Source organism: Homo sapiens, chromosome 10, assembly GCF_000001405.40.
Source record: "Homo sapiens chromosome 10, GRCh38.p14 Primary Assembly".
Taxonomy (NCBI): Eukaryota; Metazoa; Chordata; class Mammalia; order Primates; family Hominidae; genus Homo; species Homo sapiens.
Window position 1 is genome coordinate 128,623,771 of NC_000010.11, and position 24,735 is coordinate 128,648,505.

Consider the following 24,735-nt stretch of genomic DNA (forward strand, 5'->3'; position numbering starts at 1 on the left):
GAAAAGAAAGACAACGGCTAAAAAAATAAAATAAAAAGAGCCTACCCAAGGATATTTAGCAGGTGAGTATTTTTAGCTGTAGCTTTCTGAATTCCGAAGAGCGGAAGAGCCCGGCCGGCGGCGCTGGTTGTGAAGATGGAGCGCCGGCAGTCACGCAGCCGGGGGAGGCTGCAGATTACATTTTCAGGCCTCCCGGGCTTTTGTTCTGTTGAAAGGGACAAGTAACTTTGTCTAGTTTAACCCCCTCTGGCTTGGAGCTTCACAGATGTCAAATCCCTTACGGAAGACACTGCATTTCCACAGATGCATGGCCACTAGGCCTCGGTAATGTATCAGAGAAATGAAAACTCCCCACTCCAAGAAATCAGAGATGCCGTTCATTGTTGAAAAATGATATTCTAGGGACCCAACACGATGAGAATACCATTATTATAAAGGAAATCCATTCCAAAGCTTCCTATCACATGTGGTACTGCCAAATAAATGATGCAACTTCATTTAGTAAGAAGAAAATCAATGATATTAAGAACAATTAAACTGTGCCATAGTCTGTAGGTGCAAACCTCACCAAAAGTCACTTCAATAACACATAGTAAGTGAAGCAACACAGCACAGGCTGCTCATTGTTTTCAAGTGTTCTAGACGGAAGGGCTTCACCTCTGTGCACGTCGTCTTCTTCTTCTTTTTTTTTTTTTTTTAAATGCAGCTCGGTCTTGTAAACACAGAAGATTTTTTAATTTATTCTCTTTTTTTTTCTTGACATTTAACTTTTAAAATGCATTTTTTTCATGCTGAAAAGCTGGATAATTCTTGGACCGTCCGCAATGATATCATCACCCGGTGGTGCGTGCTCCTCTCTCTGTGGGGACTGAGCTCCTCGGCATATGCACTGTCCCCGCTGCAGGGCTGGCGGGGTCCCAGGATGGCACTCGAGGGCCTGCGTCCACCAGCATGGTGCATGTTCCCAGAGGCAGAGAAACAGGGCAGGACCCTGCTGAACCTCTTCACCAAAGCATGCTTTTGCATAGTTCTAGGTGTCTCTGGGCATTGAGGAGCACCCTATCTGTTCCTCCTTCCCCTCGCCCACACTTTCTCTGGGTCATCCATGCCCCAGCTTCCATGGGCTCCCGTTTACTGCGTACTGGACTGTGGTTCCATCTCGAACTCTCCTCGTAGACCAAGGGCATAAAATCAACTCTGGGAATGAAAGTGTCGCAAGGCTTTGCCTGACTCCATAGAAGATGCCGGGCATGACTCACTGACACCCTCGTCCTCCCACGTAATGGGGATAATATTTTAAAACATATTTTCAAATGAATTTTCATAACCTATAAATCGTGCTGTCCTCGGGCTCCTTGCCTTGGGGAGAGTGGGTTTTAGTGTTCCAAGGGAAGGGCTGGCATAGACCGGCTAGGAAAACAAAGTCATTTTTCAGTTTTGACTGGCAAATAGGATTTGTGAGTCCCTAGCAAGCAAAGGTTTTGAAAGCCATGCTAGATTGGGAGAGAGAAGGATTTACTAAATTCCTTTAGTTGCTATGCAAAGGGCTGGGCCTGCTGGATGAGATCATGGAACTTTTCCATAAGCCTGGGATGGAATTGTCTCAGGATGTGGGGTACAGAAATTCTTTATCACCCAGGAAGGAAAGGAAGTGCTTCCTGTGTGGGTTGGAGGGGTGTTCGGGATGCAGTAGATCCAGTGTGGTGAGGGTGTCGGGGCCAGGATCCTGCCATCTCCCTGTCCCTGGGCCTAGCATGCAGGTGTGGTGACAGGCTAGAATGTGGCCAGTGTGGCCTGCTGTGCTGGCCCTCCCTGGGGAGGGCTTTTGGCCTCTAGAAGTTGACAACCAACACGGTGCACAGAGGCTGCCTGGCAGGGTGGGCCAGCTGGCTACAAAGGGAGCCAGTGGCAGGACTCCCGGATCCCTTCTGGCTGTGCAGGGGACACAGGGGACCCTGAAGTTCCCAAAGCCCTAGTAGATAATGCCTTAGAGATATGGGGAGAGAGTCAGTTGGTCAATAAAAGCCTGGAGTTGAAAATGGCAAAAATAATAAATAAATAAATAAATAAATAGAAAGAAAGAAAAGAAAATCTGGGGTCAGAGAGTTTAGCAAGGCAAAGACATATCAGCAGATACCAGACCGGGGACAGACCTGGGGGTCTCTCTGCAGCAGGGAGTAGGACAGGCTGCACAGTTACCCCACCTTGACGTGCTCACACACAGGCTGACCCCTCAACCCCATGAAGTATAGAAGGGAGAAGCCAGGATTTCAAAATTATGAGCATTTCCCACAAAGATCCTGAGTCATCCCACCGAGGAAGAATTCTGTGGGGACAAGCTTATGTTTTCCTCCTCACTGCCCAGCAGGGAAGACTCTCACCATAGAAAAAGAAAGGTGTCGGGCACATGTTTCCCATCTCTCAGCCTCATACAGGCAGCCCTGATTCAACTGTCGGAACTGCTAGCAAGCTCGTGGATGGGCCCCAGCCACCTGAAAACGTGCAGTCTGCGGATGGCACCCTGACCTGGGTCCTATGAGTAGTGACTGCTGATGGGATGCTCTGAAGTTGGCTGAATGTCTCCCCATCATGAGCAGGAGCTCCATGCTGGGTGTTACCTGATGCTGTGTCCTCTCCTCAGCCAGAACTGCCCTCCGTCATCTCACAGAAAACTTTACCTTCCTCCAACACGGATGACTTTTTACACTTAGCATGTGGCAATGCATTTTCCTGCCATTCCTGCTGTATCCTCCTCCCTGGGCTCTGGCATGTGCTGTTGAGTTTGGGGACCTCTGTGCGGGCTGATGGCCACACAAGAATCTGAGGCTCCTTTTTTGTGACTCTGGCTCATTTAGGATCAAGGGCCTATGATGAGGGCTTTGCTTTCACTCACTCAGCTGATGAAAGATCTAGAAATAAAAGTATTTCATTTCTTATGCAAAGTCTGAGCTTCACATGCTGTGACCCACAGTAACCTTCATGGGCCAGGGAAGGGAGCATTCAGGGAAGACCCGCTGGAATGTGAATGGAGCAGGGCTTCCACCCACACCCTGTTGGGACACCCAATCCTCTTCCTGTGGAGATGCAGGAACCTGACACCTGTAAGGATTTACTTGTCTCAGGATCCAGTGGAATGTGAATGGAGCAGGGCTTCCACCTACACTCTAATGGGACACCCAATCCTCTTCCTGTGGAGACGCGGGAAGGTGACACCTGTAAGGATTACTTGCCTGAATTCGTTTGCTTGAGTTTTAACTGAAGAAGAAAATGTGTTTTGGGCTTGTATTCACTTTCTCTTTTTAGTGTGTGGTGCCTGTAAAGACAAAAGGAAAGTTGAGAATGCACAGGACCCAGTATGAATCTGCAACTCTGAAGGCTGGCCTCTGGGGAGTGCGGGCGGGGAGAGCCAGGGGTGGGCGGTAGCAACCATCAGCTGCTTGCAGGGAAGCCTCTGGGAGTGGTGCCATTTCAGGTGGGCCAGGAAACAACAAAAGACCTAGAGGGCTGCACCTGAGGACAAAAAGTGTTTTGAGTAGGTAAAGTGGAGAGATAAAGGCAAAGAGATTGCAGGTGTTCCTGGAGTTCTATAGAAGACCTGGCATTGGAGGAACACGTGTATGGGAGGAGTGAGAGTGTGGTGACATGAGGCATGGAGCCAGTGTAAATAGAAGCCACAACCCGCGGTGGCTCACGCCTGTAATCCCAGCACTTTGGGAGGCTGAGGTGGGAGGATCACCTGAGGTCAGCCTGGCCAACATGGTGAAACCCCATCTCTACTAAAAATACAAAAATTAGCCAGGCACGGTGGTGCATGTCTGTAGTCCCAGCTACTTGGGAGGCTGAGGCAAGAGAATCGCTTGAACCCTGGAGGTAGAAGTTGCAGTGAGCAGAGATCGTGCCACTGCACTCCAGCCTGGACGACAGAGTAAGACTCCTCCATTTCAAAAAAAAAAGAAGAAGAAGCCATGACCCAGTAGGCAGGGAATGTGGCAAATGGCAGGCCAGGGTCAGCAGGGGCACGCTGGAGGGTCATTCAAGGTGCAGTGCAGAAGGGATCGGAGAGTGGCTGTAGTAGCAAGGGGAAGGAGTGGCAGGTGGAGGAGACTTCATGAAGAGGCATCAAGACTGAGTGATGGGCTGAAGAAAAGGGTGGGAAGGGAGATGGGGATGAGGGGAGGAAGAGGCAGGGGACTGATGTGGAGGTCATGTTCTGATGTAGAGGCAGCCTGCCCTTGGCCCAGGCTGGAGAGTCACTGCACAGCTGAGAGACCCTGTCAAGCAAAGAGCGGAGCAACACCCACCAGGCCCACATTTCTGAGCAAGCCAGCGGACAGAGCCGCTGGAGCCGTGCTGGAGTATGACCGAGAGCCCCACTTCCCATTTGTCCTTCCTGTGTGCTATGCGAGGACCTTTAATCCTTGTTGGGCTGATTACAATGTGAAAAGGTTAATTTACTGAGACGATCTGTAATGACTACTGAGAATAATGGCCAAATAAAAAGATATGCTAAAGGAGTTTAGGGAAGAAAAATGTAGCCTGTACTTTGGGATGTGATTGCATAAAATTGGCCTTTACCATTTGGAAAAGCACCTCACTGTGCCTTTCACGGCATTTCATAAACTATGACGTGTGATTGGAGATGCCTTGAGCAGTGCCCGATAAATGACTTTATAGCCATGATTGTGTTCTTCAGGAAAAGGGAATGCTTCATGGAAAACCAGATAAACCTCGCACAGACTAATAGCATAGAATCTGGCCACTTTGGTTGAATTGATCTATTGTGGACGTTTCACATGATTTTTATTGATATTTTTCTCTTCTGCAAGCCTCGGAATGTGAGAGGAATTCTACTACAATGGCTTCATACTGAATTTTTAGTGAGAGGAAAAGCTGGTTTTAAATTGGTGATAATCAGATGTCTATTTTGAGGGGGCGCGAGGGGGATGACAATGGCTAATATGTAATAAAAACAAACACAACCTTTAGCCCCAGATGCCTCTGGGCCCATGAGTGCCTGTCCCTGTACCTGTGGGAGAAGGCCACACCTGCATTTCCGGGGCGAATCGGCATGTTCTAAAAGCAGGTCCTGCGGACACACTTGCACGGCAAATAGGGCCAGGCCCTCCCTCAGCTTTTTAACAGGTGGTGAAGTTTCCACAGGAACTTAATTTTCCTCTTTTTTGTAGGAGAAACTGTTTGTTTCTGGGCTTGAGGGAGGGAATGAAACCAGCAAAGATGAAGAAGTTGAGGACACAGGGATGGGGTCTGAGAGAGGGACCAGCCACAAAGTGGCTCTGTGGGCCACTTTCATGAGTTTTCCCATGTCGCATTGCCCTGGGATTAAAAAAAATAATTGTGATAACAGATACATAACATAAAATTTTCCATGTTAATCACCTTAAGTGTATAATTCTGTGGCATTAAGTACATTCACAATGTTATGTAACCATCACCACCTACCTATTTTCAGAACTTTCTCATCTTCCCAGACATTAACTATCATTGAAAGTGCTCTTTGTTCCCCCTCCCCCAGGCCCTGGCAACCTCTTTTCTACTTTCTGTCTCTATGAATTTGCCTATTTAATTTGCTTTTCCCTACCGGCTAGTAATGAGTGTCCTTGTCCGTGCTCGTTGGACACGTCCTGGGTTTTCATCTGTATTACAGATAAATAGGAAATGACACCCCATGTCCTGGTCTTCATCCAGGTGAGTCACCCACACCACTTTGTCCAGTCTGAACCTGCAAGTGACAGCATGACTCACCCCTGCTGGAGGGAGAGCAAAGAGTCAGTGGTGAGGGGAGGCCTGCATCTTCTTGAAGAAGGTGGCTCTGACTCAGAGGCCCAGAGGAGTGTCCCTGCTGGAGTGTCCCCTGCAGTTCCGGGTGGCTAGTGCTGGCTGTATTAACATGAGCCTTGGGCCAGATGGTGCCACTCCGGGGGCCCTGGCTTCTGTGACATGTCTACTGGCTCTCTGAGCCACCCAACCCAGGAATGGCCAGAGCTCGCCGGCCCTGCCTGTCTGAGAAGAGAAACAGCTGAGTGACTGACATCCTGGGGCCGTGGGCTGGCAGGGCCCTCACCTCTCTATAAGACTGGACTCCCACCAGACGTCTTTGCAGGAGTCACCGTCTCCTCCGGAGGTGCCGCCTTCAATTATCAGCATCCAAGGCCCGCCCACTCTGTCCAGGAACCAGGGCCTGACTCAGGGACCCGAGAGGCAGAGGCTGGTTTCTTGTTTTCCTTCAACGAAGTCAGCCAGCTTAATCTCACCTTGCCTACATCACAGAGAAGATAGGACAGATTCTGGGGACATCCCGAAATTAACTGTGAAGTGTAGACATTTGCTATTGAATAACTTAAACATTAATGTAATTTAGGCCACATGGCTACTGAGCTTTAGAATTTATAAAGCCTCTCTCTGCAGATGAAAATGTTCATTTAACCAAATGGAAAAAATATTTTTACATGTCTCATGTCCATACAAGATTTATGAAGCCCGTGTTTTTATTTATCAAAATGTGTTGTCATGTGGCCAAATTCACACTTTAAGACTAGGCAGCAGGTGCTCAAACACTGTCAATTCAAAGGTGCTGGAAGGGACCTCGCTCAAATTCCTTGATATTGTTTGCCTGTGTCCCCACCCAAATCTCATCTTGAATTGTAGTTCCCATCATCCCCACAGGTCATGGGAGAGACCAGGTGAAGATAATCGAATCATGATGGCCGTTTCCCCCATCCTGTTCTCAGGATAGTGAATGAGTTCTCACGAGATCTGATGGTTTTATAAGGAGCTCATCCCCCACTTCGCTGGGCACTTTTGCCTCCTGCTGCCGTATGAAGAGGGACGTGTTTGCTTTCCCTCTGCCATGATTGTAAGTTTCCTGAGGCTTCCGTAGCCCTGCTGAACTGTGAGTCAATTAAACCTCTTTCCTTTATAAATTACTCAGTCTCAAGTATATCTTCATTAGCTGCATGAGAACAGATTAATACACTCCCCGTGAACTACTCTAAGGAGAGAGCGGGTCTCCACGCGGCCTCGGTGTGTGCTCAGAACTTCTGACACTAGCAACCTGGCAGCCCAGCCCGGCGGGGTTCTGTTCTCTCTGCTGCATGGTTTAGCGTGTGGTCATAGTGTGTGTAGGATGGAGACTGAAGGAATCATCCTTCACGCTGATTCATCTGGAAGAAAAGCCAAGCCCTAATTTTTTAAGCTGAGGGCTCCATGTGTTTATGTATTTAGCACCTCAAGACAGGAGGAAATAATTAGTGGTTTGAGAACACGTTAACAAAAAGCAAGAGCTCTTTCAACCTTCGGGCTCATAATATACGTAATTGTAAAGTAACAAGCATACCAGAAGGAAACAATACTCTTTTGTGATGGGGAGGTTACCCCTCCACCCACCTCCTATACCCCGTGGGATAGCCACAGCATGGACTTCCTGTTCTACCCAGAGCCATAACCAGACAGCTGAATTCATGTATGGTTCCCAGGACAACAGTGGAGAGGGTGCATTTCTTACCTGGGCAAGGCTGGGAGGGATTCCCATAAAACATCATTTTATTTAATTTGAAGTTATTTTCTGGCAGGCTTTTCTTCTAATTTGGAACCTAATATTTAAACAACCATTGCTTAAAACACAAGCTGGTGTCAGAATTTTAAGGTGATGACAAGAGTAGAGCAGCTCTGGGAAAAAGAGAGGTAAGAAGTTCGGTTTTGGATTCCAGCCAAGCGATGGTCCTTTTACTTGTTTATCGATTATGTGTTGGTTCCCAAGGTCGACGAGGACTTGGCGACACCTGATTTTTATGTGGCATTTCACAGTGTTTCACTCCTCATCTTCAAGTTGGGAGGAATCAAATATTTCCCTATTAAAATTTGTTCTTCTACTTAGTGAATTTATGAGAATGAGAATAAAAATGTACTGGATAATTTTCAGCTCTTTGCAAAAAAAAAAGCCCCTTTAGCGTTGCTGTTGAATTCGGCAGCCGTGGCCAGAGGGACTGGGGAAGGGAGAGGTGCTTCTGCTGCCTTATTCATCTCCCCAGGGAAACGGAGTTGCTGGATGCCATAATGAAGGGGCTTTGTTTTTAAGAAGTCGAATGAAAACACTAGATGGTCTTGATAGATGAGCAAATATTTTGCAGGACATTTATCTGTTTACTTTGCAGTAACCACAAAGCGTCTGTAGGGGGAGTTTTCTTATTACTGTTTTTGAGTTACTAAACGCAGAAAATAATTTCAGGGTTTTCTCCCTTTCGTAACTAATTTGCAGTTAGCTATGTTTGGTACTGAGGGTAAAATATTTTTGCACAGACAGTCCTTGCTCCTGTTTCGAAAGGCTGGTCTCGGTGCATCTACGATTGCGGCGAATGACAAGAAAACTTCTGTGGGCATCAGAGGGTTTCAGAGAAACACGGAAAAGTGGAGGACGTTTAAAAATACATTTTGCACATCAGCAAGGTCAGGACTAGGGTGCAGGCAGTGAGGTGCCTAGGTTGCAAAATTTAAGGAGGTTGGGAGTGAGTGCCTGCTGAAATTATAGGCCCTAGGTGCTCCCTGGCCTCCCCCTCCTCCCAGCCCGGGGTGCCAGACATCCAAACTCTGGCTGGCATCCAAGTCCAGCTAAGGGCCCAGGGAGGGTGCGGAGCAGGTAGAAGGAAAGCAGATGCAGGAGTGGGCAGGGGAGGGACAGGGAGGAGGTGCTGGCTCCTCAGGCTCTGCTCTCCTCTGAAATATGGCCTGGAGAAACGGGAGGGAGGCCAAAAGGGAGCCGTAGTCCCAAGCTAGAACCCATGTTTCCATCGGATGAGCCGTGACCATGGGCTCCTGGCTGTCTCTGCCATCTGCCTGATGCTGCTCTAAGAGGCAGAGCAAAGGTGCTGGACAGCGAGTCCATTTAAGTGGGGAGAATAAGCAGGTGGCTGGGGTCTGGTTTTCGGCAGGTGGCCAAAGGAAAGCAGGAGAGTTCCAGGCCTGGGGACTCCACTTAGGACAGGGGACCACCTGGCGGAAATGTCAGTTGCCAGCAGAATGGGACCTGAGGGGAACTCAGCAGGTCTCTCTGATTGTCCCAGGGTGTCTACCTGGATCCTGCTCCATCAGCAGCATGTGCAGGGGCCTGGGGCTCTCCCGCCCGGAGGGACCGTGCTGGGTTCATTGCTGTTGAAGGCTTGCCCCAGTATGCCGAAGCAAGTCTGCAGTGAAACCTCAACCAGTAGAAGGAGGGACTCTGCAAAGTCACCTAACCAAGGACGTGGCCCAGGGAAGGGAACAAATTGAGGCCATGAATGTAATTGACCATATACATGTGGGCAAGGATGAGGAAACAGCGGTGCTCTTATACTCTATAGGTGAAAATATAAACTGGAAAAATGGTTTTGAAGGCAATTTGGCAATATCTGTCAAGATTTGAGAAACATGTCCATTGCAAAGAACTTAACCTATAGATAGGTTTACAAAAACACCAAGAGATATGTTCACTGAAGAATGGTTTGTTAGAAGGGAAAACATTCAAGTAAAGGAACAAAATGAAATTGATCAGGGACTGTTTAAATAAAATATAATATATACATAAATCAGAAAATGAAAGGCCATCAGAAAGGTTGAGGCAGATCTCCATGTGATGACATGGAATGATATTTGCAGTATTTGTTTAGTGAAAGCAAACTAAAACGCAGTGTGTTTAATATTATCTTATTTGTATAAAAACTAAAGGATATGCTTATAGGTACAAAATGAACTGTTGACAGTAGTTGCTTCTGGAAAATGAGACAAAGTGGCTAATGAAAAATAGATTATAGGTTGACTTTCTATTTTTGTCTTTCTTGATTCTTGATTAATTACTTAACGTATATTACTTTTCTAATCAAAAACAAGTTTTGTAATGATTCTGTATTTGTTTTTAGGCTTCAGACATTTAGAAAAAAACAGTTTCTTGGGACCTTGGGATGTTTGTTTTAGAAAGCCACATCTCAGGCTACAGCTGCTGTGTGATTTGGAGAGTTGAATTCAGTTAATCTACAAAAAAAGGAGATGTTTAGTAAGCAAGGAACTGGCCCCAAATTCCACATAATTTTAATTTTCAGGTGTTCCACTTTCCAGTTATCATATTTGACATCTTCTCTCAATGTACAGAATGGAGAATGCATTGCAAAGGACAAGCAGAGGGTCAAGCAGTTTCATGGTTCCAATGGGGCTCACAGATTCTTTGTGCACATCTTTCTTTGGTGCTTGTGAGACTCCAGACAAAATGCACAACACAAAAGGTGGCTCCTGCTCGCTTTCTCCACTTCCTCATGCCTAGCCGCTCCCTGGCCACTCCAGAGATTCCTCCCCAACAGCTCGTTGAAATGGTTCTTTCATTGTCAACTTGCCCAGGCCAGCTGAATGGTTTTCTTCTGATTTGATCAATTGGCAGCAGGCAAAGTGGTTATCACTCCCTCTTTCTTGAAATGTTTGCTTTTGGTATTTTTGCAACCACCTCTCTCAGTTTTTCTGCATTTTTGTGGCTCATTCTTATTCCCTTTTGTTATTGCTTGCTTCTCCATGAACTTCCACAGAGCGGAGCTCTCCAGCAATCTGTCCTGGGTCCTCTTCTCCACATACTTGTTTCTTCTGATGTATCCCACCCAGTCTCATGGCATTGAGCCTCCTCTGTGCTCTGATGATTTCAAACGTGCTGTTGCTTTTCAATCTCCAGCCTAGCCTAGACTCTTGGATGAGATTTATTTCTTCAGTTTCCTGTTCATCGTCTTCATTTAACAGGCATCTCAAACTTAGGATGATGACAGAACTGTAGATTTCCCCAGTCTAATCCCTCCACCTCAGCTTCTCCCTTTCTCAATAAATAGCAGCTCCATCTACCCAATTTCTCAGGTAGAAAACCCGGCAAATATTCTCAGTTTTTCTTTCTTCTTAATACGCATATATATACTCTTAAACATTTTTATTTCATCTACTTTCAAAATATGCCCTGATTCTGGTGATAGCTCAATATCTCCACTGGCTCTTGGCCCTGGTCACTGTGTCATCTGCTGGAACTGCAGCACAGCCTTGCCTGGCCTCCCTGCCTCCACTCTCCCTGTTGCCTCCTGCTTCTTCCAACAACAGGAAATACACATCAGCTCCAAATGACTCAGTGACTCCATCTCTGTCTTCAAATAAAGTCCAAACTCTCATTAGGATTCACAAGACCTACATGATTAGGCCCTTACATTCATCCCAGCTCCACTGCTGAAAATCAAAGAAATAGGGAAAGTAAGGAAAGGGGGAGGAAGGGGCATAGAATCCTCAAAGGCAAAACAGAGGGCTGCTGCCCCAACAGAAACCAGGGAGGACAGAAGACAATCAAATAACACCATTAAAACACAGGCAAAAATTAAAAACCTAGCATTCTATATCCATCAAGCATATCTTTAAAAATTGATGTCAAAATGAAAATGTTTTGGGAAATAAAACATTAAATTTTAAGTAAACTAACTTAAAAAACCATTGAATTCTTTTGGGAAAAAATTTATCAGCAGTAGAAAGAACAGCACCAGAAAAGATACCTACGTGGGTCAATAGAATTGAGTATCAACTGCATAAAACTGCAGCAACAGCAATACATTATGGAATGGATAGCATGTATACGAGTGACTTACATGACAACAAAAACACAAAGAGGAAATATAGTTGAACTGTTTCAAAACTCTGAGTTGCTCAGGAAGTGGTAAGACTACTAAGTTAAACTAGTGTATATTCGAAGAATAAATGTAAATCTAGGGTAATCACTAAAAAAAAAGATACACAATAAAAAACCTAATATCTAGGAAGAAATAAAATGATAGAAATGCTTGACTAAGTAACAAGAACAAAAACTAAAGTCAGGAAAGGAGAAAGCAAAAAACTAAGTAGAAAACAAATTGCAAGAGCGTAGATTTAAATACAATACTCCATGGAAAAGACAAAGATTCTCAGACTGCATTAAAAAAACAAAAACAAAAAAGAAAATCCAATGCTGTTTACAAGAAACATCAAATTTAAGGATATAGAGAGGTTAAAAGTAAAGAAAAAATAGAAAAAATATATACTGTACCAATGAAAACACCAATCAAAAGAAAGCTGTTGTGGCCATATTAATATCACACATTATAGACTTTAGTCAAGAAGTGTTATGAGGTGTAAAAATGGACATGTAATAATAACGTTTTCAACAACCAGCAGAACATAAGAATCCTACATCTGTACATATATGAGACTATAATCCCACAATATATAAAATATAATTTGACAGAAATAAACGGAGAGAGATAATAAATGTGCAAGCATGACTGGAGATTTTTAGCATGCTTCTTTTAATAATAAGCAGATAAAAAAATCAGTAAGGAGTAATACAACTAACCAATCTGACCTAATTTTATTATTTTTATATATAATATGTTATATGTATTTTATAGGATGTATCTATAAGAACATATATGTAAGGTATACATAAAATAAGAATCCATTATATTTTTATATACCATATATAGCATATATAATACATATGAAAAATATGATGTATTCTTCTTTTATGTGTACGTTACATATATTCTTACATGTATATATAAAACATATTATATATATATAAATATTATACAATTAGGTCAGGTTGGTTAGTTGTGTTACTTCTCACCAATTTTTTAAAGTTCATTCTTTTGAAGTTCCTTTAGGACATTTATCAAAATCTGTGTTTGATATGGTTAGGCTTTGTATCCCCATCCAAATCTCATCTTGAATTGTAATCTGCATAATCCCAACATGTCAAGGGAGAGACCAGGTGGATGTAATTGAATCATGGGGGTAGTTTCCCCCATGCTGTTCTCAGAATAGTGAGTGAGTTCTCATGAGATCTGATGGTTTTAAGGGGCTCTTCCCTACTTCGCTTGGCACTTCTCCTTCCTGCTGTCTTATGAAGAAGGTGCCTTGCTTCCTCTTTGTCTTCTGTCATGATTGTAAGTTTCCTGAGGCTTCCCCAGCTATGCTGAACTGTGAGTCAATTAAACCTCTTTCCTTTATAAATCACCCAGTCTCAGGCAGTTTTTTATAGCAGTATGAGAAAGGACTAACACAGTGTTCATGTATTAAAGCACAAATAAATCTCAGTGGGTTTTAAAGGATTAGAATCATAAAGTATAAGCTTTGTTCCTAACTTGGAATTAAATTAAAACTTAGCAAAAGAAACTTCAAGATCTGGCCAAGATCGAGTAATCACATTCCACTTATCTCTCACACTGATCACAGCTAGAAACTCTGAAAAGAATGACTCAATGACTATTTGAAGATTCTGAAATTTTAAAAAAATACCAAGGAGAATGAGGAGAAAATTCAAAACTTGAAAATGACTAATATGATGATGAGTTCCCTGTTTTGTTTGTTAATTATTCTAAACTATATATTGTCTGCAAGAAATCTACTTAGAATATAATTCTATAGATAGGTTGAAAGTAAAATGATCAAAAATGATGTACCAAGCAAATAAAAGTCAAAAGAAAACTGAAACATCTTTATTCACATCACACAACATAGCCTGCAGAACAAGGAAAATTACCAGAAATAGAAAGCAACATTGCAGAATGATAAAAGGGTGGATTCCCAAATAAGATATAAGAATCCTAAATGGGCATGCACCTTACATGAAAACTGACATAAAGTAAAAGATACATAGACAAATCCACAATTATAGCCAGAGACTTCACCATTGCTTTTTAAGTAATCAATGGAACGATAGATAATCAATCAGTAGCATAGAGAAGACCTGAAGAGCACCATCAATGAACTTGACCAAATTGAAATTTATAGCACACTCTATCCAAAAACAATAGAATAATAGAATATGCATTCTTTCCAAGGGCATATGGAGCATTGACCAAGAGAGACTACATTCTAGGACACACACACACACACACACACACACACACACACACATACACACACAGAACCATAACAAATGTAAAACAATTGAAATCACACAAAATATATTCTCTGACCACAATGGAATTATATTAGAAATCAATCACAGAAAAATATAATACTTGGAAAATGCTCAAATATTTGGAAATTAGATACATATTTCCAAAATTCATTGGTTCAAAGAGAAACTCTCAAGGGTAGTTTGAAAATATTTTTAACTGAATGAAAATGAAAATGTAACTTATCAGACTGTGTGGGATGCATCTAACTCAGTACTTAGCGGGACATGTATAACATTAAGGAATTATATTAATGATAAAGAAAGGACTCAAATCAATAATCTAATTTTCTACTTTAAAAACTTGAAATAGAAGAGCAACGTGAACCCAGAGCAAGCAAAAAAGAGGAAACAATAAAGATAAAAGCAGATGGAATATTTGCTAAAATTGACACCTTGTCAGGCCATAATTCTAGCCTCAGAAAATGTCAAAGGGTGTGAACTAACAGCATGCTATAACATGCTTTAAGTATTCTGGACACAAAAAAGAAAAAGGCACCTGGAAAACTCCCCACATTTGGAATATTTTTCAACCTTACTTTTAAACAATTTATATTGAAAGAAAAAAATAAAAAGGAAACTAAAAAACATTTAGAACTAAAATATAGTGAGGATACTACTCATATAAAAGCTTATGCCGTACCTCTAAACCAGCAAGTCAAGAGAAATTTAAGCCTTTGATGCTTATATTAGAAATAATGAAAGACTCACTATTAGTGAGCCAAGCACTCAACTTAAAGGTCATAGAAAAAGAACAGTAGAATTAATAAAGATTAATAGAAGGAAAAGGCTCAATTTTAGGAATGAATGAAACATGTTTAGAGACTGCAGAATTAAGTAGATGATAAAAATTATTAAAAACAATGTCAAAAAATAGAAAATTGGACAAAATAGATAAATTCTTAGAAAAATACAATGTATCAAAACATACACAAGAAAAAATAGAAAACTTAAATAGTCCTACAGTCACTAAGAAAATTAAAATTTTCTCAAATGGAAAATGCCAAACTCAGATCTGTTTGTAGATGAGTTTTATCAAAGCAAAAGAAAAGATAAGTTCTATTTCTACTACGCCAAAGGAAAGAAAAAATAAAGAAAAAAGAAAACTCAATATCTTATGAGACTAACAATGCATTGATAAGAAAACCAGACACACATAGTATGAAAAAGAAAAATTACATATCCCATCTCTCTCATGAACACAAAACCAGAAACCTTAAGCAAAAATATTAGCAAATATCATCCAGCAATATAATAAAAGACAACACATCTTAAATAACTTGGATTTATACCAGGAATGCAATTCTGATTTAATAAGAGGCAATTAATAGCATCCTCAAATTTAAAGAAGGATCTTTATCAATGAAGGATCACCTTCTAGTAATGCTTTAATGAAAGGACAACTTATTATAAAATATCTTAGCAAACTACAAAAGAAGAAAAAATTATCTTTGCCTGATAAAAGGCATATAAAATTTATAGTAAACGTTATATATAACAATGGAAGTTCAAAAGGATTGTCTGTAATATTAGGAAAAGAGAAAGATGCCTTCTATTCAATATTTAATCAAAATTTTACTGTAAGTACTAGCAATTGCACCATGACAAGAAAAAGAAATAAAAAGTGACAGCATTGGAAAGAAAGAAATAATATTGTCATTAGTTGCTGCTGCTGATTGTCTATATAGAAATTTTTTTAAAAATACATTTATATTTAATCAAAATAGAAAATATAATTTTTAAAATGTAATTTTCAGTAACAAAAGTTTACACAAAGCATCCTTTATGCAAAGAATTAAGTCCTTAATATAGCACATCAAAAAAATCTAAATAAATGGAAAACTATAGGAGGCACTTGTATAGAAAGACTCAGTAGAATAAAGATGCAAATTATTTATAAATTGATCTCTAGGTTCAATGGAATTCCCCAAAAATGCTAACAGATTTAATAGAACTTGACAAGTGTGTATATAAAATATATATGTGTGTGTATATATCCGTGTGCGTGTGCGTGTGTGTGCACCAGGAGACATGTACATGGATATTCATAGAAGTATTGTTCATATATATATATAAAGAGAGAGAGAGAGAGAGAGCCCAAAATAGCCATGATACTTCTGAAGAATAAGATGGAGGTGAGGTGGAACTTGCCTTATCAGATTTCTTTCTTATGATAAAATGTCAAAAATAAGATGTGTTAGGGTTTTCATGGGCCTAGACAAATAGCCTATGGAGTAGAATGGACAGCCAGAAACTGACACCCAGAAGTACGGAGTTTCACTCATGCCAGGGTGGGCACTGTGCATTAGAGGGGAAAGGAAACGCTATTTAGCGAAACGATAATGGGCCAATTGTTGTTTATATAGAAAACAGTGGAACCTGACACCTACCTCATACCTACTCAACAATCAATTACAGGTGGCTGAAAGACTTAATAATAGTCCCCTAGTCCTCCTGTTTTCTAAAAGTATTTTAATTTGCTTTCTCACATTTATGACCAAAGGATAGAGAGGGATTTTAAAAAGTGCATAAAATACATATTCCATAAAATAAATGACTGATAATTCTATAATTTCATTAGAAAGTTTTTGGTCTTCAAAATACACAGGAAGAATGTAAAATTTCAAGGCATGTACTAAGAAAAGACGTTCATACCACATATAACTAAGAAAGGATTTATATGTAGAATACAAAAGGATTCATACAAATCAATAAGAAAAATGTGCAAAAAATTTAAAGAGGTATTTTCCTAAAAAGGAAACACAAATGACAATTAAACATATAAAATAATGCTCAACCTCAGTAGAGATTAGGAAAATGCAAATGCATAGAGTGTAGTGATGTATTTTTTTTTTTTATCCACTAGTTGGGCAAAAATTTGGAAGTCTTATAATACCTAATGTTGGTGAGGCTATGAATCAACAGAGACTTTATTGTTGGTCCAAGTATAATTTGTAATGACCACTTTGGAAAATAATTTGGCATTATTTTACAAATATGAATATTTAACCAAATAATTTTAGGGATATAGCAGAACATTTTGCATGTATGTGTCAGGAGCCATATACATGAATATTCATAGAAGTAGTGTTCATAACAGCAAAACCAGAAATTATCCTAAACTCATCCAGAAGAAAATAGATAAACATATTTCAATAAGTCTTAAAATGGACAGTTATAAAGCAGTGGAAATACAGTTATATGCAACACTATGAATGAATCATACCAATATGTCAGAAATCCTAGAACAATTCATAGAATACAATATTTTATAAGCCTCAGAAACAAGTAGAATTAAACAACATATTGTACAGGTATATGTACATATGTGATATAACTAAACAAGAAAACAAAGGAGTAATAGATACAAAATTCTGGGTAGAGGTAACTCCTGGGTGCATAGAAATGGGATTGAGGAGGTATATTGCTGGGACAAAGACTTTGGCTTAATTTCAGTATAGATTTGTGGGTCTAAATTTTATTGTGTTTCATACTATATCTATTACAAATATCCTATCTGTCAAGTATTACATATGAAAACTTAAAAAGAAGTGTATATTATGTGGTTCTGGACTATTATTAAAAATGTACTGTATATTCAGTGCTGAGCTTCCTGTTGGTCAAAAAAAGAGGTTAATGAACTCAGTTCAGAAGGTACTTTGTGTAGCTGAAAACACAGCAGTTGTTCAGGATAAGCAGTGTCTACCAGTTAGTGAAGGTTGAGTCATTGTCAAATAAATGTATTTTTCCTTAAAGAAAACATAGCTTAATGGGCATAAGTATAATCAATTATTTTATCATCCCCTCTTTAAATTTGAATTTTACAAAAAAGTCCCCATGATCTTCTTTCCCCGGATGCTCCAGTTTACTTTGTCCAAAGTCACTAACATCTGACAATGAATCCAGAAAGGACCCAGTTCTAGAATGTGGTTGTAAGCACTGGGCACATCTGGCCATCTCCCTTTGTGTTCACAATCGTCAGTCACTGAATGCCATCTCCCAATTATTGCTTGGTTTCTGCTAATATTTGTCACAAAAATGTTTGTTTGAATGTATCTTATCAAAGTAATGTTTGTGTTTTGGATTAGTCATTGCTTGGTTAAAGATTTGTATAATCAGCTTATTTTAAGATTAATTCATGGAAAAAAAACCCTCTGCAAATTCCCATTATCGCTTAATTTGTATAAAGATATTTACTATATTTTAACAGTGCAATTAAGATTAATATGGGTTCTAACACCATAAGGTCAAGTAAACATGGATTGGATGATACTCTAAACACTCACCTCTGATCCTCAGATATTATTATGCAGCCCAGATCTTGTGGGTTTGCAGAATAGCAAAAAGGTCAGAAGTGAAATGAAATGAGTATTCTCAGGTTGTCTGATGCAGATGAAGGCACGGTGCTACCCTGGGCTGACTCGTTCATCACTCTGGGTTTCAGAAATAGCAGATGATTCACAGGCTGGAGGAGGATGGATGGCACCCTTGAGGGAGAACCTCCCTTGGGCAGACAGGAAAATGATCTCAGAAAGAAGCTGGGGTGCGTTTGTGTGGTCCAGGCTCTTCTGAGTCCAGGTTTTTCTCAAGAGCACTTTTTTCCATGAGCCTGTGCCTGTTGGTGCCCCTTAGAAAGCTAGACTGCATGCCTTCCGAGGCCCTTCAGGCTGCTGCTGCCATTCTTACTGCTTCTGGAATCAGTAATATGTGGGATGGGCTTTCCCACAATTTTGATGAAATTGAGCAATGTTTTAATTTCTTATATGAACTAAAAAGTAACCCACTCCTCACAGTGGGTTGAATGGTGGTCCCTCAAAATACGTACCCATGTCAAAATTCCTAGCAACTGTCAATCTGATCTTATTTGGAAAAAAAAAAAAAGGGTCTTTGCAGATGTAATTGAGTTAAGGTTCTGGGGATGAGATCATCCTGGATGCAATGACAAGTGTTCCCATAAAAGGCAGAAGGAGATACAAGAGGGGAAGGCTGTATGAAGAGGCAGGCAGAGATCCGGGTGATGTAACCACAAGCCAAGGATGACCTGGAGCCACAAAGCTGGAAGAGTCAGAAAGGCTCTTGCCCTAGGCAGGAGTGTCCAATCTTTTGGCTTCCCTGGGCCACATTGGAAGAAGAAGAATTGCCTTGGGCCATACATAAAATACACTAACACTAACAATAGCTGATGAGCTAAAAAGAAATTCACACAAAAAATCTCACAATGTTTTCAGAAATTTTAAGAATTCATGTTGGGCAGCATTCAGAGCTGTCCTGGGCCACATGTGTCCCACCAGCTGTGCGTTGGACAAGCTTACCCTAGACCCTCCAGAGCCAGCACGGCCCTGCCCACACCTCCATTTCAGACTCCAGGTCTCCAGAACTGTGAGAGAATACATTCTATTGTTTTCAGCATCTAGTTTGTGACAATTTTTTATGGCAGCTCTAGCAAATTGTGTGCGTGTTATTTTAGGCATTTTAGTTTTTACTTATAAATATTTTTTAATGAAAATAATAAAATCTTGTCTGGGTTTTAAAGCCCACCTGATAGACCGTAGTAGTTCCAGCTCCCTCTCAGTCCCTGCACATGGCTTCAAGTCCCCTGTGTTAATCAGGCAGACTCATCAACTGGCTTCGCTTTAATCAAAACATTTAAAAACCTTGCAAGTTTGATCCAACTCACTATAAAATTTCCCCATTTGGCCTTATTCTCATGATATATTAGTCTCCCCTTACCCATCTGGGGTACTTTCCAAGACCCCTCATGGATGCCTGAAACTGCAGATTCTACTGAACTCTATATATGCTGTGAATAAATTTCCTTTTCCTTCTTTACAGTTTCACGAATAGAAGATTCACTCTTACCATAGGTCTTAGCAACCTCAGCATACACTTATTTTTCTTTCTTTTAGCTAAAACTTTCACCTTTTCACATTAAGGAAGCACTTTTCAGCTCCTCTTTGGCACATCTGAATTGCCAGCATCATTACTTTTGTGCTTTTGGGGCTGTTATTAAGTAAAATAAGGGTGACTTGAACATAAGCATTGTCATACCATAACAGTGATCTCATTCCCAAGCCTGCTTCTCTGTGACTAACAGGTGGGTGGCGTGTGCAGTGTGGATATGCTGGACAAAGGTGTAATTCACATCCCAGAAGGGAGGGTTCAAGATTTCATCATGTCACTCAGAATAGCATGCAATTTAAAACTTATGAACTCTTTATTTCTTGGATTTTCTATTTGATATGATTTGGCTGTGTCCCCACCCAAATCTCATCTTGACTTGTAGTTCCCATAATCCCCAAGTGTTGTGGGAGCGGCCCGGTGGGAGGTAATTGAATCATGGGGGCAGTTACCCTCTGGCTGCTGTTCTTGTGATAGTGAGTGAGTTTTCATGAGATCTGATGGTTTTATAAGGGGCTTTTCCCCATTTGGCTTGGCACTTCTTCCTGCCACCAAATGAAGAAGGACGTGTTTACTTCCCCTTCCTCCATGATTGTAAATTTCCTGAGGCCTCCCCAGCCCTGTGGAACTGTGAGTCAATTGAACCCCTTTTCTTTATGAATTACCCAGTCTTAAGTATTTATTCATAGCAGTGTGAGAATGGACTAATAAACCATTTAATATTTTAGAAACATGGTTGACCATCAGTAACTGAAACTGTGGAAAACAAAACCACAGGTAAGGGGGCACTATTGTAATTATTTTCATTTTCTTGACTGTTCTGCTGGGGGTCATATCAGAATCCTTCCTCTGTTTTTTGTTAACTGATTATGTGGTCCGGCCACAGGGAAGAGACACCCAGCTTGGCGCTCCAGTTTTTTCAACCTGGGAGACAGACAGAGGTTTGGACATCTCACGTGATTAGTGCTACAGTGTCATGCTGGCATGTGGAAAGGTGAGATGTCCTCTGTCTCGAGCAGTCCGTCCTGTGAAGACAACATTCTGCCTTGACTGAGAGCTCCCTGTCTGTGCTATCCAGGGATACTCCTCCCACGTCCTTTTCACATGTGCTGTTGAACCCTTGAAATCTGGCCAGTGCAAAAAGTAATGGAATTTTTAATTTTTAAGATTTCTTGGCCGGGAGTGGTGGCTCATGCCTGTAATCCCAGCACTTTGGGAGGCCGAGGCAGGTGGATCACCAGGTCAGGAGTTCAAGACCAGCCTGGCCAAGATGGTGAAACCCCATCTCTACTAAAAAAATACAAAAAGTAGCCAGGCGTGGTGGTGGGTGCCTGTAATACCAGCTACCTGGGAGGCTGAGGCAGAGAATTGCTTGAACCTGGGAGGGAGAGGTTGCAGTGAGCCAAGATTGCACTACTGCACTCCAGCTGGGGTGACAGAGTGAGACTCTATATCAAAAAAAAAAAAAAAAAAGATTCCTTTAATTTTCATCCACTTACATTTAAATACTCATACTTGGGGAGGATTTTGGGAGAATGCATCTGTGCTCATCCTTGAGCTTAGACACTGTGGCATCCCAGGTGTCTTAGTCCATTTGGGCTGCTGCCACAATATACCTTGAAAACAACAGAAATGCTTTGCTCGCAGTTCTAGAGGCTAAGAAGTTCTAGAGAGAGGAGACAGTAGAGTCTGTGTCTGGCGAGGCCCTGCTTTCTTGTTCCTAAACTCCCTTCTCACTGTGTCCACAAATGGTGGAAGGGGTGAAAGATCTCTCTTAGGTAACTTATATAAAGACACTACTAATCCCTTTCATGAGGGCTCTGCTCCCATGGCCTGATCTCCGCCCTCAATGGCCTGATCACCTCACAAAGGCCCTGCCTCCTAATACCATCACATTAGGGGTGAGGATTTCAACATGTGGATTTGGGGTACATAAGCATTGAGACTATATTACCAGGAGTTGCCTGGGACACGTCTAGTTTGTGATTCTGATGCCACTTCCTGAGAAATTAAGAAGCTACACTGACTCATCCATGAGTCTCAGGGAATTACTCTAGAAAAATTAATAATAACTTTCAAGCAAGAAGTCATGTGCTCTTCCCTCATACCTTATTCCAAGGCCATAGGAATAAATGTGCTAGGAATTTCCAGTTGAATCTTCCTTTCTGTAGTTTGTAGCCACTTGTGTCCTTTCATGTGAGCCAGAGATGAGAATTGCCAGTCCACGGTGCCCCAGCAGGATACCAGCGTCCCCTTTACAGAACCCAAGAGGAGCACAAGGCCCACAGCCTTCTGAAGGGGACGCAAAGTTGGCTCTGAGAGCCACTGCACAGCCAGCATGTGGCACACAGGCAGTGTGGGATATCCCTTTACACATCCCCATGTGAAACAAGATGCTACACTATCCAAGACCCAGAAGACCAAGGCTGGGCGGGGGGTCAGGGAAGTGTGCAATATGGTGGCCGAATACCTCCACAACCTGTGTTAGATGTGGGCACTTTCAAAGGGAAGGCAAACTGAAAAGCAAACTGTAGCGCAATCAATAGTGGCTTCAGCAGTGTTTTATATAATGAAATCATAGGCAATAGAAAAAAATCCCTATTCTCAAGTAATTTATATGAGCTGTTTTTAAGTCACAAAAGGGTCAATTCAATTTAGAATTTACACATGGATTCATGGAGGTGGCAACTTGAATATAACTTTCTACCACTTCACTTAACTCCAGGCTACCCAGCTCTCCCAAAGAGCATATGACCTCAGAGCTCACTGGCAGCTGTGGGATTCCTGCAGGTAGAGTGATGGGGTTTTCTCCTTGTGAGGCTGGAAAGAGTCTGGATTCTCCTGCTAGTGGGACAATTGGAGCAAGAGAATTCTAGAAAGAGCCTGGTCCTTAGTGTCATGTGGTCCTTGGAGGAATGTCATTTTTAGCTCTGGCTCTTTTCGTCATTGCACACCCAAGTCTGGGGAGATGCTCAGTGGGTAGGCTGGGCTCTCTCTGACCCTGAGTCTGGGACAGTAGGAAGAGACCATAGGCACAGACCATAGGCTCACTCCTCCTTCCTTCAGAGGAGGACAGATAGTGGACACTTGCTGTTGCCTTGTTGCCTCGCAAGGGTTGAGAAGACTTTCATTCCACCACTGAGGTGCTGTAGTCCATACTGTGTGCCAGCAATGAGGATGAGCCTTGATGGGCAGACAAGGACAAATGACAACCCAGCTGAGGAGGGAGAAGGAATCAGTCAGAGTCAACACAGCATGTGCTCAGCTCAGCTCAGCTCCCACTCTTGAAAATGGCACCAGTGCCCTGTTTGGAACCTGGAGGGCCCTGCGGGACCAGCCTCTTCTTCTCCTGCGTTTACTTTCAGTGTTACACTTGCTCCCACTGTCTTGCAGTGCTGTGGTTCTCTAAAGAACTCCCTGCGTGCATGCCTTTGGACAGCCTCGTCAATGGTGAACAAGTTCCCGTGCGCTCAGCCTCTCCACTCCCTGCCTCGACTGAGACACATCCGGTCTTTTCCCTGGGCCCCGCTTCTCCCTCAGCGTTCTTACTATAGTGCTTTTGGCTGCTTAGTCACCTACCTGCAAGAATGTGTTGTTCAGGAGGGAGAATTTTTGTGCCTTCACACACCATGTTGTTTGTAGAGCACAGGTTTTAAAGGTAGAGACACAGAAATGCTGAAAGTACAGTGATGGGCAAGAATATGCCACAGAAATAACAACCAAAAAACCCTGCACTAATATCAGAGAGATTCAGGGTTGAAATATTATGGGAGTAGAAAAGGAATATTTAATAAAGATAAAAGGGTCAACTCAATAGGGAAATATAACAATCCTAAATGCAAATTTACCTACTGAAATAGCTTCGAGATCTGTAAACTTAAAGTTGTCAGACCTAAAATAAAGGGTGGAAAAGCCACAATGATATTTGGTAATTTTAACACTCCAAATTGACTGAAAGAAAAATAGACAAAAAGTCAGTAAGGATAGAGCAAATTTGAAAAACCCCACTACCTAGGCTCAATAAATATATAAAATACTACATTCCACAGCTGCAGAATATACAATTTTGAGTGTCCATTTGGTAAAACACACCATACTATAAAGCAAATCTCAACAAATTTCAAAGACTGAAATCTTCTAGTGAATATTCTGTGACTACCGGAAAATTATATTAAAACTCAGTAGCAGTAAAAAGGTAGAAATCTCCAAGTGTCCAGAAATTTAGAAAATAGTTATAAAGACCCATGAGGCTAAGAAGAAATTAAAATGAAAGCCAGAAAATACAAGTATATGCCTGCCTACATACACATATATTACACACACACATATGTGTACCTGTATGTACACATGTATGCATATGTGTAGGTGTGTATAAATTTAATGTTCTAAGCTTCCAATTCAATAAGTTGAAAAAGAGCAGCAAATTAAATTCAAATAAAATTGAAATAAACAATAATGATAAAATCAGAAATCAATAAAATATAAAACAAATGTATAATAAATGAACAAAGCTAAAATGTTGGCTCTTGGAAAAAAAATTATGAAATTGATAAATCCCTAGGAATACTCACTAATTAAAGAAGACAGAGATAAAACAGTGTGAGGAATTACCAGTGTGAGGATTTGAAAAGAGAACAGATCCTACAGAAATCAAAACAATATTAAGTAGATTGAAAAATGTTGCCCCTTAGGGTAATGTCCTCTAGGTTCATCCATGTTGTCACACATGGCATGATTTCCTTCCTTTTTAATGCTGAGTAATATTGCCTTGCATCTATAGAGTACATTTTCTTTATCCATTCATGCACTGATGAGCAGTTAGGTTGTTTCTACACGTTGTCTGT

The 24,735-nt window shown here is 41.4% G+C and overlaps 2 annotated features.

The window, feature by feature from the left end:
- Nucleotides 2,616–2,813: a silencer, noted in NCBI's record as "fragment chr10:130424650-130424847 (GRCh37/hg19 assembly coordinates)". NCBI's record gives its function as "represses an EF-1alpha promoter that drives an FKBP-Casp9 reporter gene in an ReSE screen in HepG2 liver carcinoma cells {active_cell/tissue: HepG2}" and the evidence as "EXISTENCE:reporter gene assay evidence [ECO:0000049][PMID:32094911]".
- Nucleotides 5,075–6,274: an enhancer, noted in NCBI's record as "MED14-independent group 3 enhancer chr10:130427109-130428308 (GRCh37/hg19 assembly coordinates)". NCBI's record gives its function as "activates an origin of replication core promoter dependent on BRD2, BRD4, P300/CBP and CDK7 cofactors, and independent of MED14, by STARR-seq in HCT116 cells {active_cell/tissue: HCT116}" and the evidence as "EXISTENCE:reporter gene assay evidence [ECO:0000049][PMID:35650434]".